This window comes from Homo sapiens, chromosome 4 (assembly GCF_000001405.40).
Source record: "Homo sapiens chromosome 4, GRCh38.p14 Primary Assembly".
Classification (NCBI taxonomy): domain Eukaryota; kingdom Metazoa; phylum Chordata; class Mammalia; order Primates; family Hominidae; genus Homo; species Homo sapiens.
This window is the reverse complement of record NC_000004.12, coordinates 51,844,224-51,861,454: the sequence shown is the minus strand read 5'-3', so window position 1 is coordinate 51,861,454 and position 17,231 is coordinate 51,844,224. Positions and strand designations below refer to the sequence as shown.

Genomic DNA, 17,231 nt, shown 5'->3' with positions numbered 1-17,231 from the left:
AGAAGTAGAAAAGACAAGAAACACAAGTTATCCTCAATCTGGAATTCCAGGACTTCGGTGAGCTGGGCCCAACTCATACTCCAAACATCTTTCACCACCCCACTCCACAAAACCCTTCCTTCCAACCCCACATTCTGCCCACTGCCCTTCCTACACCCAAGAGAATTCAAATGTGTGCACACACTTGCACACACACACAAAACCACTCTATTCCTGTCAAAAATCCACTTTGCTTCACAACCTGACTCTGGAGTCTAACAGCTGGTTCAAATCTCAGGTCTACCAATTTTCTCATCTGTAAAGTGAGGATAAAAAATTCTCCTTCATAATGTTGTTGTATGGTTGAAAATATTTATCAGACACCTATTACAATGTCTAGGTATGTCAGGTACCCATTACAATACCTGGAAGATAGTAAGTGCTCAATAAAAGACATCAATTCCGACTATATTTACTTACACCATTCTCCATACCACACAGCTGTCTAAAATAGTCTCTAACTTTTCCTAGGTTCAATTCTCGCCTTACATCAATGATCCCAAGGTCAGAGCTTCCTCTGTAATTGAGGCAGGTGGCCTGGTACATCTTTTAGCCTATGATGGTGATATAGTTTGGATATGTCCCCACCTAAGTCTTATGTTGAACTGTAATTCTCAGTGCCAGAGGTGGGGCCTGGTGAGAGGTGTTTGGATCATGGGGGCGGATCCCTCATGGCTTAGTGCTGTCTTTGAGACAGTGAGTGAGTTCTTATGGGGTTCAGTCATTTAAAAGTGTGTGGCACCTCCTCTCACCCTTTCTCTCTCTCGCTCCTGCTTTCGCCATGTGGTGTGCCTGCTCTCCATTCACCTTCCTCCACGATTGTAAGACTCTCTAGAAGCCAAGCAGATGCCAGCACCATACTTCCTGTAAAGCCTGCAGAACCGTGAGTCAATTAAACCTCTTTTCTTTTATAAATTACCCAGTCTCAGGTATTTCTTTATAGTAATGCAAGAATGGCACTGCGACTCATATACCAGCAACTGATGTTCATAATGTTGACTGCAGATAATCACAACACACAGGAACAAAAATACAGATATTATGTTTAAAATCAGGTTCCACGTATGAAGTTTTACTTTACTAAAGGCAACAAGAGTAAACAGGTTCATTTCACAAATACATAATATATGTCACCAATTATCCATTTCTATATCCAATCCCTATTGCTACCACATCATCATCACTTCAACTAAAAAAAGAAAAAAGAAAAAGGAAGAAATGAAACCAGTAACATGGATAATTTTTCTTTCGTCTCATCAACATAAGGAGAAGTTAAGACACAAATTCAGGAGAAAAAAAAGACAAAAATGTCATTAAAAGATAGATTCACAAAGGTTAACACACATTGGATTTACAGTTCATCTGTTCAATGCTCATGGCAAGTAATAGCCCTTGAAATCTACAGTAGATTTCACCTCCTTAAGGCCTAGATGTTAAGGGTAAAGATCAAATGCTTTACCGAGAACGTATTCTGGAAAGCACTGATTGATAAAAATCTCCTTCTGCTCGTATTTCAATTCCAAAGGATAAATGCTGGGTTTTGACTGCATTCCATGATCAGACGGCTCTCCAAAGTAAAGCAGTGCTGAGTCTGACTCTCCTGTGTGACATGGCAACTCTATAGTCTGTATTAAAACCAGCAATCAGCTCTACAAAGGCACAGCCTGCTTGATAAATAGCTTGCCTAGATTATCTTCTGGATTTTCTTAAAACTACCAACAACTGCTGATTGGGCATAAACTTGTCTGGGTTTTTTTTTTTTTTTTTTTTTTTTTTTGCTTGTTTTAACTACCATTTGCTGTGACCTACACAAAAGAAAAAAAAATGAATGCCATTGAGGGGGTCAAAGTCCATTCCCCCAAACTACTCTAGGTAAGAAAACTACACAATACAGGGGGAGACATAAACATTAATAAAACAATTATTGGTAAGTTCAGACAATGACTCTCAATCAAAAGAAACAAAAATTAACAGTCCTAATAGTTTACTCTCATAAGAGGGTTAGAAACAGAATTTAAATACATAAAAAGCAAAAACTTCCCTTTATACCATAGTCACTTGCAAAATATAACTGGGACAAGAACGCAATTATAATGGCAACAAAAAGCAACAATACATATAGGAATAAACTCCAATATGTATGATTTTATTGTTCAGAATGAACAATTAAAGTTTACTGAAAGATATACACGTAAAGAGATATTTCTGGAATAGAAAGACCCAACGTTGTAAAGCAATCACTTCTCCCTTCACTAAACCACAAATTAATGCAATCAAAATTCCTATTCTGCTGGCTCCCCAGTTCTCCACCCCAAAAAGAGGTGGGGAAAAGAAGGAAGTCAGGCAAGCTTGGCAGATTGATTCTAAAGTTCATCTGGAGAAATAAACATGTTAGGCCTGCCAAGAAATTGTTGAAAAAGAATGAGGATGAACTTGCCCTATCAGATATCAATACACAGTATAAAGCAGAGCCTGGTAAACTCTGTATGAAGGGCCAGATTGTAAATATTTCTGGATTTCTGGCCCATACAGTCTCTGTTGCAACTACACTGCCATAGTAGCTCAAAAGCAGCCATAAACAATACGTAAGTATGGCTGCTTTCCAATAAAGCTTTATTTATAAAAACCAGGTGGTAGGGCTGGATTTGCCCCATGGGCCATTGTTTGCCAAGACCTGGTATAAAGGTACAGTAATTAAAATGTTATACTATGTGTGCAAGAAGAAAAATCAATGACAGAGAGCTGATAAACATATACGTATAAATACACATACACAACATATAATTAAATGGCATTTCAAACTCAATGGAGAAGACATAATAATTCAGTAAACAGAGGGGCAACTGGTCAGCATGTAGAACAAATTAAAATTAATTCCACCTCACCCAATAGTTACAGATGGAAGGGGAAGCTGTTCAAAGCAAAAGAAAACTTATCATGGGCTCAGGGCCTTGTACACCCTGCATCTGCTAATCTCTCCAATCTCATCTTCTACTCATCTTCCCCTTGTTCATTCTACTCAGCCACAGTGAGCTTCCTACTGCTCCATTAACACTCCAAGAACACTCCCACCTCAGCGCCTTTGCACGTGCTGTTCTCCTTACCTTGAGCGCTCTTCCCCCTAATAATAACATGGTTGCTCTCATACTTCATCAGGTTTCCATTTTAATATCACCTTTGATGGATATGTTAATTAGTCTGATTTGATCACTCCACAATTATGCATGTATCAAAACATCACATTGTACTCCGTAAATATATACAATTATTTGTCAATTAAGGATAAAATTCTTAAAAATCACCTCCTTACATAACCTTGCCAGACCAACAGAGCCCCATCTTCACTCTATCATCTTACCATGCTTTGCTTTTCTTCACAGCATTAATACCATCTGACATTATATTATATATTTGTCATCATCCTCTCCCATTAGAATGTAAGCTCCACAAGGGCCAAGACTTAAATCTTGCCCATTGCTGTATCCCGTAATATTAATACCTAGAAGAGTACCTGGCACATATTAGGTGCTCAATAAATATTCAACAAATGAATAAACGCAGATACAAAGGCACCAAAGGCTTAAATTCAATACATTCAGGGCACTTCAAGTGATCTTCAAATGTGAGAAGTGTCATGGTAAGAGGAGACTGAACAGGAAGGCAAAGATCAGAAAATGAAGAACTTGTGAATCCTGCTTGAGCGTTTAGATTTAATCTCCTAAGGATCTGTACCTCAAACACAGGCACCAGAGACCATGCAAACGTAATGACAGGAATGGCACATTCCAGCAGCATCAATTCTAATCAGCAATAATATGACAGTCTTACATGAAAACAAACATAATCCCCACATCAAGCTGTGCTCCCAGGACCCTGAAACAACTTATTCCACCAAACTCTGTACAGGAAAACATTGGTGGGAAGTCTGAGAAGCACTCCTTTGAGAGTCTTGGTGCCATGGAGGTGTTCTGATCAGGAGAGTTATTTAAAAAGATCACTCTAGGACAAGTGTGCAGCAAAGATGATGGGTGATCTGAATTTAGAGTGGCCATTTATGGAGATGACTAGAAGTGACTGAGGTGGGAAAGCATTAGGGCCGTAAGTTAGACACTGGCTGTAAAAATGGAGAGGAGAGATTCTGAGTACACTGGAGTTGCAGAAAATAGATATTTAGCTTACACAAATTCAACTCTTCTCATTTGGTCAAAAAAAATAAAAAAGGAAGAAGCGAGATGAAAAGAAATTTCAGTTGTCTCACTAACTGCCCACCCTCCCTTCTACTTAATGAGCACGAGACATGACACATGAATAGTCACTCTGTTGGTCTCAGTTTCCACATGCCAATCAGATTTTGTGCATCTCACAATACGGTATGAGTCGAGTATTTAAAGTGATGTATTTTCATAAAACATGGTCCCTAAACTGAAGTTGAAGACGAGGCCAGATGCTTCAACTGGTGCTCAAATAAACAGCCAGAGATCTATTCCAATGCTGGAGGAAGGAATAGGCTGTGCTGGATTCTTCTGAGACAGCTTCCAAAGAGGAATCTTCTGCAAGTGTTTCCAGTGGTATTTTTAACACCAATGATCTTCACCTTACACAGGGACTTTAGAACCAACCTCTATATAAAATGTGATTGCAGTGTAAGGAAAAACTAACAGGACTGCATGTGAGAGATGAGCAAGTGAGGCACTCAATGGTTCATGTTCTTTTGTCCAATTCTCATTTTATTAGCTTGAGCGGAGTCAGAGAGCTAGCTATGGCCAAGCTGGGCAAAACTCTTATCTTCTAACTCCCAATCCAAGGCTACTTCTTCCATTCTAAATTATTTCCAATAAAAGCAAAAATATCAATCTAACTTTACACTCTGTAATAGGAAAAAAGCAGCAACGTTTCCTAACCAAAGCTGTCAACAAGCAACCACACACTTAAAGTAATTTAATATTAAAGAAAAAAATTTTAAAACTGGCTGAATCTAAAACAATTCACCATTTTTCCCCCAGGGAAATAATGGTACAGAAAAGATTTAACACCAGTGTTAACTTTCTATTTTTAAGCACAATTCGCTCTTCTGGTCACTAAAGCATCATCAAAGTGTTTTATTATTAAACTACAGCTGAACAATTCTCTCAGATATAAAAGTTTTAAACAGTATTATGCTCTTAACAAATGCTTTTCAAGTGACGATGAAAATGATGAAATAAACCTGTAAAGGCGGCAGAAGGAAAGGGCAAAATAGTGACCATGTTATTGCCAAAAAAGCAAAACAAAATTGGACAAAATTAAAGGTTACCATCTAACCTTGGCACTCATCTAAATGTCTCTGGAACAGAACAAGAACACGACTGAGGTATAGGGATCTGCCTCTCTAACTGGGATTCATCAGGGAATGCTTAAGGGTGTTTCAAGCCATGGGTCACATGGCTCAGCCTCCTGAAAAGTCAATTGTACCACGTGATATGGGAAAAGAAAACAAAAATTGTTAAAGCCAAGGCTGCACTGTGGTTGGGAGCCACTCTTTAGATTTGCCTTGTTTCCTTCCTTCTAGAAACACATGCCCTCTTTTCCATGGGTTTCAGATAGACTAGGGATGAGAATGTCAACGATGTGGAGCAGAGACCCATTCCAACCCACAAAGGATGCATTACAACCTTTTACTTGAATCACTGAGATGTTGTATTTGCTATTGCAGCATAAAAGAAAAAAAATTCTAGTCCTCACAAGGCTCTACGTGATCTGACCTAAGTCATCCCATTCCATTATCCTTGCCTACTCCATTCTAGCCACACAATTCGTGAATATTCAAGTGAATTCCTACCTCAAGGCCTTTGCATTTACTGTGCCCCTCAGCCTCCATGACCCTTGACGTTCACAGGCCCAACAGCTATCTTTCCTGAAATATCTATTTAAATGTCACCTCATCAGAGATGTCTCATCTAACTTCTTTATGCAAAACAGTACCTCCATCTCCCAGTGGATTTAGATTTTTTTCATAGCACTTACCACTTCCTGATATTAAAAGCTTTGAAATATAATTCACATAGCATGGAATTCACTCATTATAGTGTAAAATTCAATGGTTTCAGTATATTCAGAGTTGTGCAAACATCACCACAATCTAATAATAAAACATTTTTTATTAGCAGTCATTCCCCATTTCTCCCTTCACCCCTCTTCAGCTCTAGGCAACCACTAATCTACTTTCTGTCTCTATAGATTTGCCTATTCTAGACATTTTATATCAGCAGAGTCACACAACAGGAGGTCTTTCATGATCCTGACATTATATTAAATATTTATTTATGTCTTTGTCACTCTTCCTAGAGCCCAAGTTCCATGAGGATAGGGACTTCCTTTTGCTTTATTCACTACTCTATCCCAATATCTTTTGGAGTATCCCTTATCAGAAATGCTTGGGACCAGAGCATTTCAGATTTCAGATTTCTTCAGGTTTTGTTGTTTGTATTATACTCACCAGCTGAACATTCCTAATCCAAAAATCTGAAATGCTACAATGAACATTTCCTCTAAGTGTCATGTCAGCACTCAAAAAGTTTCAGATTTTGGTGCATTTTGGGTTTCAGATTTTCAGATAAAGGACACTTGACCTGTACCTACAACAGCACAAACCTAGCACAAGGCAGGTACCAATAAATAGGGGAATAAATGCTTTAAAAATAGTTACTGAATTTAGCAACATGGAGGTTACTCCATGACCTCAAAGACTGCAATGACAGAACTGAGACCAGAACAAAGTGGGCTGAGGATTGTATGAGTGATGAAGAAATACAGACTATGTCAGGCAAAGACAACTTGTTCAATAAGTTGGCTATTAAAGGGGAGACTAGAAATGCATGTGGGTTTGAAGGAGTTTGGGTTTTACAATGGCAGGACTTGAGCATGCTTCAAATGCTGCTATTAGTTTTGCTTAGTATCCTGGAGGGTTACAGTAGCCAGAATGTGAAGAGGCAGGTCAGATCACAAGTCAGTGAAGATCTAATATGCACTCAAAGATCATAGTACATATGTTTTTAAAAAGTACAAAATACAATTTTAAGTAAAAAAGATTCCCTTAAAAATGAGGTACATCTCAAATAACCTGAAATATAAAATGTACCATAAAGTAAAATCTATGTCAAAACCATAAAAAAGTAGTGTTTTAAATGATTTACAATACCAATTTACAACTCTGTATGCTAACTGATAGTCACTAGCTACATGACATGGCACAGGTCTCAGTTTCATTTGTAAAAACAAATATATTCACATTTGAGGCTAAATTACTAAAACACAAAGATCTGAAATGTTTTCTATACTGTAAATCTAGGAAAAACCAAAACCTAGGTTTATGGGTCAGTTTCATACTACATGTCCTTCATGGCTACAAGTAGGAATTTCTTTTTCTACGAAATGGATAATCACAGTGCCTGCCTCATAAGGATATCGTGTGGATTAAATGAGTTAATGCTGCACTGTGCTTCAAACAGTGCGTGGCACAGGGGAAGCACTACCAAGAATTGGCTATTATGTCATAGGCGAGCAGGAAGGGTCTGCACGATCTGCCCAGTGCAGTGCCCATGGGGGAGCTGCTGCATCTTTTGAGCCCCATCTCCACAGCCCAAAATAAACCCAGCTTCCTAATTAAGCTATTAATATTTAAATGAAACCATTGGCTACACAGTGGAATCACCTAAGAAGACTGAAAAACACCAAATACCAGGGCCCCAATCCAGATCAATTAAATAAAAATGGGTGTGGGGCACCACGTGTTTCTCAAGCAGCCCAGGTGATTCTAACATGCAACCAGAGAAGTAGATTCTATCCCTGACTCTCAACTCAATCCCTGGCGTGCCAGTAGCCAATCCACTCCTGGAACAACCTCAGCACTGCTAGACAGGAATCTAACTCATTCACCATACCCTATCAGCACACGATGAAAAGGCCAAGGTCCAGGAAAAAGATTGCAGAGCTGAAAAGCAGGGTAAAAACCAAAAGAATTGAAAGTAGCAGGTGAGGAAGGTGTTAACTAACTTCATTCTCCTCATCAATAAATATTTGCTATTTACAAGGCACAAAAGCCAAAGGAGAAAATTGATAAGGGAACAGGTCATTCAAAGTGACTCAGCATTTTCACTGAACACAGATCCAAAGTTAAAGCTATCCAAGCATATTGCTGCTGGCTTTTTCTTCCTCTTGCAGGACTCAAAAAAGGGGCTGGGAGAAGAAACCATCCGCCCAAGGGAGGCAGCATCCATCCATCGCCCACCACACTGCCTGTGCCTGCTGGTGCTATCCCAAGGGACTCAGTCACTTCAGGACACCCGTCTGGCTGCACTCCCAATGTGACATGGTACAAAGGGCCCTAGCTTCATTCTCCTCACCCCACCTACCCACTGAAGGTGAGCACAAATGATCTGTACTACCCACTGAAGCACACAGAATCACTGGGTAGTTCACAGTAAAAATCTTTCCATCTCACTAATGTTAAATGAGCCCAGATTTTGGTTAAAGAATGTCAATCAGCTCTGATAACATAAAGCCCTGGGTTGGAGTCAGAGCTCCAACTGAGTCCCAACTGAGTGACCCTGTACATGCTTCCAAACTTCACTGTGCCCGTGTCCTCATCCATAAAGCCGAAATAACAGAACCTCTTTGCGAAGCTACTGTGGGGATTATTAAATGAGATGGTGCATGTCAAGCACTTAGCACAGTGCTGGTCCATATTATGTGCCAATCAACGTTAATTGTTTTCATCCCTATTATTATTTAGAACGTAGAAGACACTGAGACAGACTGAACCTAGAACTACAAAAAGACAGGGCAGAAGAGATCACAAGGTGATGGTGTTTAAAACTACTAATTCACTAGCTATTGGACTTAAATGTACAACTATCCCGTTTCCTGTTTAATTAATAATTAAGAAGTGATCTGTGGCTTAATTTTGGGAATTGCATATGTAGGACAAGACATTAAACTTACCCTAACCTACAGGAAAAAAAATAAAAATAATTTCAAAAATGTTATGTAAAAATGATGTTAGTAGTTGTTTTCTAGTTTTGCTGCAATGTCGTTGAGATCTCCTATATTTAAAAATAACAAAGTCTATTTAAATAAAATCTAAGAAGACTAAAAATGACTATTTCATTAGTTAAGAGTATGAAAATACTTTGCCACAATTCTTCAGTTTCCCACTTAAAATCAGTTTTTAAATGTCTACTCTCATTGTAAGCAAACCAGCAAAAATGAGAGGGGATGAAGAAGAATGGGAAAGAAGAGACTCAGAAATCCCAGATCCTGATCCTGCTGGGACTCATTCCAAGAAGAAAAGAACCAAGAGATAATCCATCAGCTGGCTCTGTCAGCATCATTCATAGGCCAGTGACAAAAGAAAAAAAAAGAATTCCAATATACATGCAGTGTTCCAATCAGGGTTCAATGAAAAGCACAAACAAAATGTTAAGAATGATTTCAGTGGCAGTAGAGGGTTACCAAGACCATGGAGTCAGAATGCTTGAGTTAGAATCTCAATTCACCACTTATAAGCTGTGTGACCTTGAGAAGGGGAGTTAACCTTTCTACACCTCAGCGTCCTCATCTGTGAAACAGAGATAATAACAGTCCCTAACTTATTGAGGGTTGCTGTGAGGATTAAATGAGTTAATGCAGGCAAAGCAGTTGAAGCAAATCCAAGATCATCACTGAATTCGTGTTAGTCCCTCCCCATTCCCCTTTGCTCCTCCTCCCTCCCTGTGCCCCACCTGGGACTTCTCTTTCCTTCTCTCAGTTCCTTTCCACTCATACACTCTCCCTGGTGCCTCTTTTGAGTTCTTCCCACCGACCCCACCCCACCCCTGCCACCAGCTCCTGCCTAGCCCTGCACCTCACCTTCCCCTCCACTCTAGCCTACCAAACACCCACTCTCCTGCCACAGTTCTCTGTCCCCACCATGCCATGTTGTCGCTGGGCTTGGAAAGCTCCCACCTGACCCCATATGCCACCTGCACATGCATACACATCCTGTTCTTCACATAATCCAACTTCAAAAGCTAAAACTCACATGACAACTGCTAACCATTCCCCACATGTTCTCAAAGCCCCCGGGGCATCCATCTAACCTAGCAGGCATCATCGTCCCATGCATCCATTCCTTCTGTCTCCACAATGAACTCACTGAAGGAAGCTCCTGAAGCCCCGGTCTCCCCCACACAGTCCTGCCTGTGACAGCAGCACCTGGCAGCAAAAATCCCCTTGAATGTTTGCTGAATGGCTGAGTGAGGGAATGCCTCATTTGGTTCTGTTCTTTCTTATAACTTTTCTTCTCAAGAGTGATTTTTTAAAGGCTACCTAGGAGACTGTCATCACACAGTAATTGTAAGCATCAAAAACACTTTACGTGTTTCATCTCATTTAATCCTTTGGACCACTTATGATTTTTGCCTCCTACTTTCTTCCCTCTGCCCTCCCCCACAACTCTAAGCACCCCAGCCTCTGCTGTTCCTCAAATATAGGCCTGCTCCCCACTCTGAGCTTCTGCATTTGTATTCTCTCTGCCTGGAATGGCCCCTCAGCTCCATCAGGGCTTAGCTTAAAACCTCCTTAGTGAAGCCTTTCCTGGCTCCACTATTTAAAATTACAACACCCTCCACCCCACCCCACGCCCGCACACAGGGGTGCCTGCATGCACCCCTTCCCTGCTGTTTTTCTCTACAGAACCTATCACCATCTGACGTATTACACAATTTACTTGTTACTATCTGCCCCCTCCCCTACACTAAAAGGAAAACTTCATGAAATATGAAGAGCAGGGCCTGGTACATAGTAGATACCCAATAAACACTTGGTGACTGAACAGCCTTCAACAGGCAATTTTTAGGCATGAGGGCTCTGAAGCGCACACAGAGCAGCTGGGTAACTCTACTCCAGTCCCTTGGCTAGGAGATGACAGAGCAAGGATTTGAATTCAGCCATTTTGGCTTTCTTGCCTCCCAACCTGACCCAGATAACAATTAAAAGACATCATCACATCCAGGGAGAAAACCCGAGCCCTGCATGTCTACAGGCCACAGAGAAGCCAGAAAAGCCATCCACTGGAAAGCCGCTCACCAGAACAAGTCATCTAACTCAAGACACTTCTGTGCGGCAAAGTATTATTTATCAGACTGATAATTTATACAGCACTGATAGTTTTTCTTTGGATTTCATAGTTCAGTAAAAACGAGAGATTTATCATGCCTTTATTATACTGTAATATCCTCAGGAACAGCAAAGTGACAAATCATCAGCTAATATGGAGGAGGCCTAAGGTAACATATGTTAAAAGCCAACAATTGTGGTAGTGGGGCAGGAGGAGAAGCACTGACTACAAGGGGACACAAGGGAACTTTTGGGGTAATGAAATGTTCTATATCTTTAGTAAATTCACCCAACAACACTTAAAATGAGTATAATTTTATAATACGTGAAATTATACCTAAATAATGTTGACTAAAAAGGTATTTGGTACATCAGATGTAATTTTTGGCTAAACAAAATAAACATTCCACTAAAACACGCACACACACACACGCACGCACACACACACATATTTCTGTAGCTAATATTCCCACATCAGAGCCAAAAAAAAAATGCACAAGGAGTTATGTATTAGCTCCTAGGCATCCCAACTTTTGGGGGACAAAGAATTAGGAAAAAGCAGCAGTAAAGAGTGGCACATGATGAGACCCAGTGGGCTGGGCTAGTGTGTGGTTCGGGAGTCCTGCCTGACCACCAGCAAACACAGCTCCCACGACCCACAGCTGATATCGACTGTGTCCTCCTCCAGTCCTCTGGGTCACCTCTGACCAGAATGTACAGGCAGCCAGGATGAAAAAGATACATCACTGCTCTTCACAAGGGCTTCTACCACGTATCTGACCAGCGACAGTGACAAGTCTGGATGCTGAAGTATCAGAATTCTTAGTTGAGAGCATCAGAAACTAATTCTAGGTAATTTAAACAGAAAAGTGATTTAAAAAAAGGGGAGGCGGCTATTAGACAGTTCACAGAATCTCCCCCTGGCCATAACAATGCCTAAGGGGACACAGCAGACTGCATCATCATTGCAGCAACAACTAGACCTTGCCTCTAGAAGCAGCACAGCAGCCACCACTGTGCATCCCCCCAGAAAATGGCCACATGGGCTACTCTTCTTTCCTTGCCTCCAGCCTCAGGTTCACAGTCTCAGGCGAGTGTGTCTGAGAAGATCTGCCTGCCAGGGTAAGAATTCTCCAATCAGACCAAGAGTCAATGGACTGACAGTGTCCATTACAGACACTAATCATAAACTAATATGGAGGAGGCCTAAGATGACATATGTTAAAAGCCAACAATTGTGGTCGTGGGGCAGGGGGAGAAGCACAAATGGATTACTCCCCGTCTCTGCAAATCTACTGATACAGGCCAGCAAAAAATTTCACAAGGAAAAAAAAATCCTCGAAGGCAGAACTAAAATAAATCATACCACAGGTAATGCTATTTGAAGAGGGCAGGGGTCTTTTTCATATCTAGTGTTTTTTTCAGTACATTAGTTACAAATGACAAGCCTATCTTCCTAGATTGAACATAACTCATTAACAGCATTTTCTGATTAAAAGCAATTCAAACCTGAAGTAGCAGATACTTTGCTACATCTAAAACTGTCACACAATGATTGTTAAAATACCTAATTCTATTTAGAATGCATTTCAATGTTTTCCTTCTTAAAACACATTTTAAAATACATGTTCTGCTTAGAATACTTCTCAAGAGGTACTTCTCCTAATGTAAATTTCAAAAGAAAAAAAGCAAGCTATGAGAAGAATTAATACCAATTCGAGTTGACCAACTATAAAAATTTACCAGCATTTATGTCAGATTCATCAAAGAAAATTTTACTCTGTAAATCTGAAGAAAGACTTTCAGTGATCTCACTATATTGTTAACTTAAGAAATAAATCCTTAGGACCAGAATATGGATATAAAACAAAAAGAAGGGAAAAGGACAAACACTCTAGGCCCCTTAACATCAGACCTGTTAATGCTGCCTTAACCTTGTGCAGGTAGGACGCTGACACGAGAGACCAGAAACGGACGTGTGCACATTCACAAACACTCCTTCTGTTCCCTCAGCACATCACCAGCATTTTACTCTTTCCTTGAGAATTTCTCCACGCCACATTCTCTAAAACTGATATCTGCATGTTTGAAAAATATTAAATTAGTTTGCATACAACTGACTTTGTCTAAAAAATGCAAAGAATGAGTAGGTGAAAGCTTGTGTTCCTTGAAGAAAAATCTAAAGATAATGAAAGACAACAGGAACAGGAAGAATTAATTTTTCTAGATAATGCACAAGTTATTCAATAGTTGATCATTTAAGTTCAATTCAATACATATTTGGGTAGCTATGCAAGGCATCATGCTAGATGCTAAAGTGGATACTGGGTAAGACATGGTCCCAGATCTCAAAAAGGTAATAATCTAATTGGGGAGGGGAAATAAAAGTAAACAAGCAGCTATTGTTATGTAACATAAAACTGAGTAACAGAAGGAAGCACTGCTTCAGAGATTCCATGAAAGGAGAGTCTGCTAGAGAGGGAGCACAGTAAAGAAAAATTCTAAAACAGCAGCACTGAGGGCAGCTGGAGCCGGGTGCAGTGGCGTGCATCTATAACTTCAGCTACTCAGAGACTGAGGTGGAAGGACCCCTGAAGCCCAGAGTTCGAGTCCAGCCTAGGCAACATAACAAGACCCAACCTCTAAAAAAAAAAAAACAAAAAAGAAAGAAAAATGTATTGCTGGTTATTATAACACTGTAAGAAAGGCTGTCTCAGACATAAGGCCATGGCAATAGGTATGGGAAAGAGAGGCTGGGCATGGGAAGAGATGCAATCTCTCCTTGCCACTGACCAGGGAAGAAGAGGATAAGAAATGTCCAGGATTTCAGTGTGGGTTATTAAAATTACTGCAGCTTCATTTACCAAATGAATAAAATTTATTAGTTTTGTTCTCTTCTTTGACTATTAAAAAGCTCAGTGCCAAATATTTCTAACATATGGCAAGTGTTTCTGTGTACCTTACAAGTCTATATATAAATTTTTCTTCTCTTGACAGGGTTTTATCTATATTTAGCAAGTCACCCCTAATTCTTTTAGAATAAGGCAGAAAATAAATCAACGTAAAGGTTGAGACCAAGCCAGAGACAGCTGGCCAAAGTAGCTGGTTCAGGGATATAACCTGCAAGTTGCCAACCCAGCGCATTCTTCTCACCCTTCTTCCACCCTACGAAAGGCCATATCTTACAAGAGATGCTGGTAAATGCCAGACATTCACTGTGTCAGGCTTCCTCACAGCTAGCAGTGGCATGAGATCAGTTCAATCCAATGACACTGAAATGGAACTCTCCAAAGTGAGTTTCTGCAAAAGACTTCTCTGTTAACAGGGAGTTATAAGGAAATATGCACCTTCCTTCCCTGCTTTCCAATCCAGGCATGATGTCTGGTGCTACGGCAACCATACTGCAAACATGAGGCAAATGAGCCTGAGGAATAAAAGCTAAAACACTAATAGAAGAAGAAAAAGATGCAGAACCTAGATCCTTAATGACATCATTAAGCCACTGCACCAGCTTTAGAACCAACTACTTCTAGGTTTCTTGCTACCGAACAATAATAAGCCCTATTATTTAAGCCATTAATTTGAGCATTGTATTGGCAAAGGCATCCTAACTGATACAAGAGATCATCATGAGGTCAGTTTCTCACAGGTTGATTTTTATACTGCTAAGTTAGCAGGATTATTAGCTATTAATTATTAGTTATAATTAGCAGATGATGATTGAGATAATAATGTAAACGTAGCCAGGAAGAAGGTAATAAGCCAAGAAGAGCTGCTGGGAGCAACTTAACATAAAAACAGAAAAGGAGACAATGATAAAGTTTGAAAAAACATGATTAAGTGCCAGTAGGGGTACACAGAGTTAACAACAGAGGAAGAAGAGAGTGAAGTCCACTAAGAGAAAATGAGGCAGGCCTTCTTTTCTGGCAATGTTACAGACAAGATTACCTAAAAATCCTTCTTAATATAAAACAGTCAAAAATTCTGGATAACGTGTAAGAAACATCTGTTTAAATGCACAGCTACGTTCACAAGAAAATAAAGGACCTCCCCAAGCGCCAAAAATCAAAAAGGAACCTAAAAACCAGAGCAGAAAGTGTGTAGGAGCCTAGGGCTTTGGGGAATGGAGGGAGGTGGGCTATATGTGTATAAAAAGCACCTGCCCTTTGGGATATAATAGAACAAAAGAAAAAGAGAAAGCTATGACTAGCTTCATATTTTCTTTAAAAACACCATTTTGAAGACAATTATAGCTCTTGCATGTTTTTCAACCTCATCACTTTACCCTCTGCAAGAAAAAATTCCAGAGTTAAGTGCACATTTTTGTACATATTTTTATATTACCAAGAGTTTCCTGGATATTTCACCACACGATTAAGTAAAATATGACAGATAGATATAAATGATCTCCACAAGAACACCACACACATTGCCCAATTTTTCACTCATCATGAAAAGAACCATCAAACAATCAAGTATCCAAGTTCAGTATGTTTGTAACCACACCAAAAGGTTTACAAATCTTAGGACTTCTTGGTAATATTTTTATCATCAGAAAAATTACAATATTCTTCTAATGACTATGTTGCAAGTAGTTTCATAATACCTTATATATTACATACAAAAATCTATCATCTCTGCATTAATCTTAGCCTTCTACATTACAGATTCTGGAGTCCCTTCCCTGTAAACAGTAAAGGGAACTGGTGAAGGATGTGACGTTTAGGGAGTCTACTTATGGAGAGGAAGGTTTCTAGTATTAAGGAGAGAAGGAATTGCAGCCTGCAGCTAATAATAAAACAAGCAAACAAAAAAAGTCTTATGGTTCTCCACTTTTTACAGTTTTCTTCTATTCTCATTTGCTTTCCAAGCTTCTTCGAAAATTGAAGACGTCACATATTACCTTTGCTCACCTTCACATTTCCACCCTAAATTCCACTAACCCACCTCCATCACTCATTTCAAGACAGTTATTTTTTCAAACACCCCAAGAAATACCAACACATAGTTTATATTATCGTTACAAGGGTTACGTGTACCTCCACTGTGTTCTCATATTTATGCAAGGGAATGCTGGAACCCAGTGCTTACACACACTGGATGCCAAAATTAAATACACCATTCTAAAGGCTGCTTTACATTGTGTTGCTTCTTAAATGTTTTCCCACAACCCGTGCGCATGATGGTACAAGACCAAGCATTTATTCCACAAGTAAGGCCACAAAATGCAGGGGGAAATTCACTTGGGGACCAAGAACCTAAGCGTGAAGAGGGCTGCGCCTGGCGTGGGCTCTCCCTCTCCCAAGGGAGAAGGGCTGGGGAGTCGCTCCGTCCCTGGGAACTCAACCGCCTCCCGAGAGCGCGCAGGAGCTGGCCGGGGAATAAAGCACGAGTTGGCCGAGCAGGAAGGCTCCAAGGGCGCGCTGCATGCCGGGACCCGTTTCCACAGTTACCCACGTGCACCCAACCCAACCGCGGCCGGGCGCGGCCGCGACTACAAGTCCCAGAATTCGGCGGGACCGCCTTTCCCCTTCATACCCGTTGACTGGAGACAAACCCTAAAGGAAACCCCTCAAGCGCCCTCCCAGCACGCCTGGGAGAAGTCGCGCCCCCCGGGCGTGGGGCGCGGCCTAGGGCCCGGCCATCCCTCTAAGGAAGCGGGTTCCATGGCACCAACCCCCACACCTGATAGCCAGAAATTAGACAACTGCGTCACAGACTATCAAACCCACGGACTGCCAGGGACCCCGACACCTCCCCGGCGCCAAGCCCCCGACCCGGCCATCAGGGCCCGACCCCTCCGGCTCCCGCTGCTGAAACCCCGCAGCCCGCACCCCTGCCCCGCCTCCTAGTCCCGCTGCCGGAGCCCGCGCCAGCGCTGACCTCGCTTCCCGCCGTCCGGGGGGAACCACGGCCAGTTCCAACCTTAGGGCACTTACCCCGTCTCCTCCACCTCAGCCCCGCCCCCTCCTCTCTCCGCACCCCGAAGCTTGGACTCCCCCCTTCAAGGGACCCTGCCTCGACAGGGAGAGGAAGTACCTCCCCTAAGCACAGTCTGA

The 17,231-nt window shown here is 41.1% G+C and overlaps 1 protein-coding gene across 22 annotated transcripts in view, besides 2 other annotated features; it reads right to left on the bottom strand.

Moving 5' to 3' along the window:
* Window positions 1-17,231, bottom strand: part of DCUN1D4 (defective in cullin neddylation 1 domain containing 4) — an 82,954-nt gene that overhangs the window by 55,383 nt on the left and 10,340 nt on the right. For 2 of the 22 annotated variants that reach the window (XM_047449872.1, XM_047449873.1), the window contains exons 2-3: window positions 13,088-13,250; window positions 792-912 (exon numbers count right to left, since the gene is read on the bottom strand). The exons of 13 other annotated variants lie outside the window; for them this stretch is intronic. In XM_047449872.1, the coding sequence (XP_047305828.1) occupies window positions 792-822 (31 nt within the window). In that variant the 5' untranslated portion in view covers window positions 823-912; window positions 13,088-13,250. Of the gene's footprint in view, window positions 1-791; window positions 13,034-13,087; window positions 13,251-17,055; window positions 17,084-17,111; window positions 17,212-17,231 lie in introns of those variants that run through there. 7 more of the 22 variants (NM_001287757.2, XM_047449874.1, XM_024453944.2 and 4 more) reach the window with 7 other exon arrangements.
* Window positions 7,099-8,000: an enhancer, noted in NCBI's record as "H3K27ac-H3K4me1 hESC enhancer chr4:52719621-52720522 (GRCh37/hg19 assembly coordinates)". NCBI's record gives its function as "activates a minimal SCP1, AML or CMV promoter by ChIP-STARR-seq in naive H9 embryonic stem cells {active_cell/tissue: H9 hESC(naive)}" and the evidence as "EXISTENCE:reporter gene assay evidence [ECO:0000049][PMID:30033119]".
* Window positions 17,075-17,194: a silencer, noted in NCBI's record as "silent region_15420". NCBI's record gives its function as "represses an Ori minimal core promoter by ATAC-STARR-seq in GM12878 lymphoblastoid cells {active_cell/tissue: GM12878}" and the evidence as "EXISTENCE:reporter gene assay evidence [ECO:0000049][PMID:35858748]".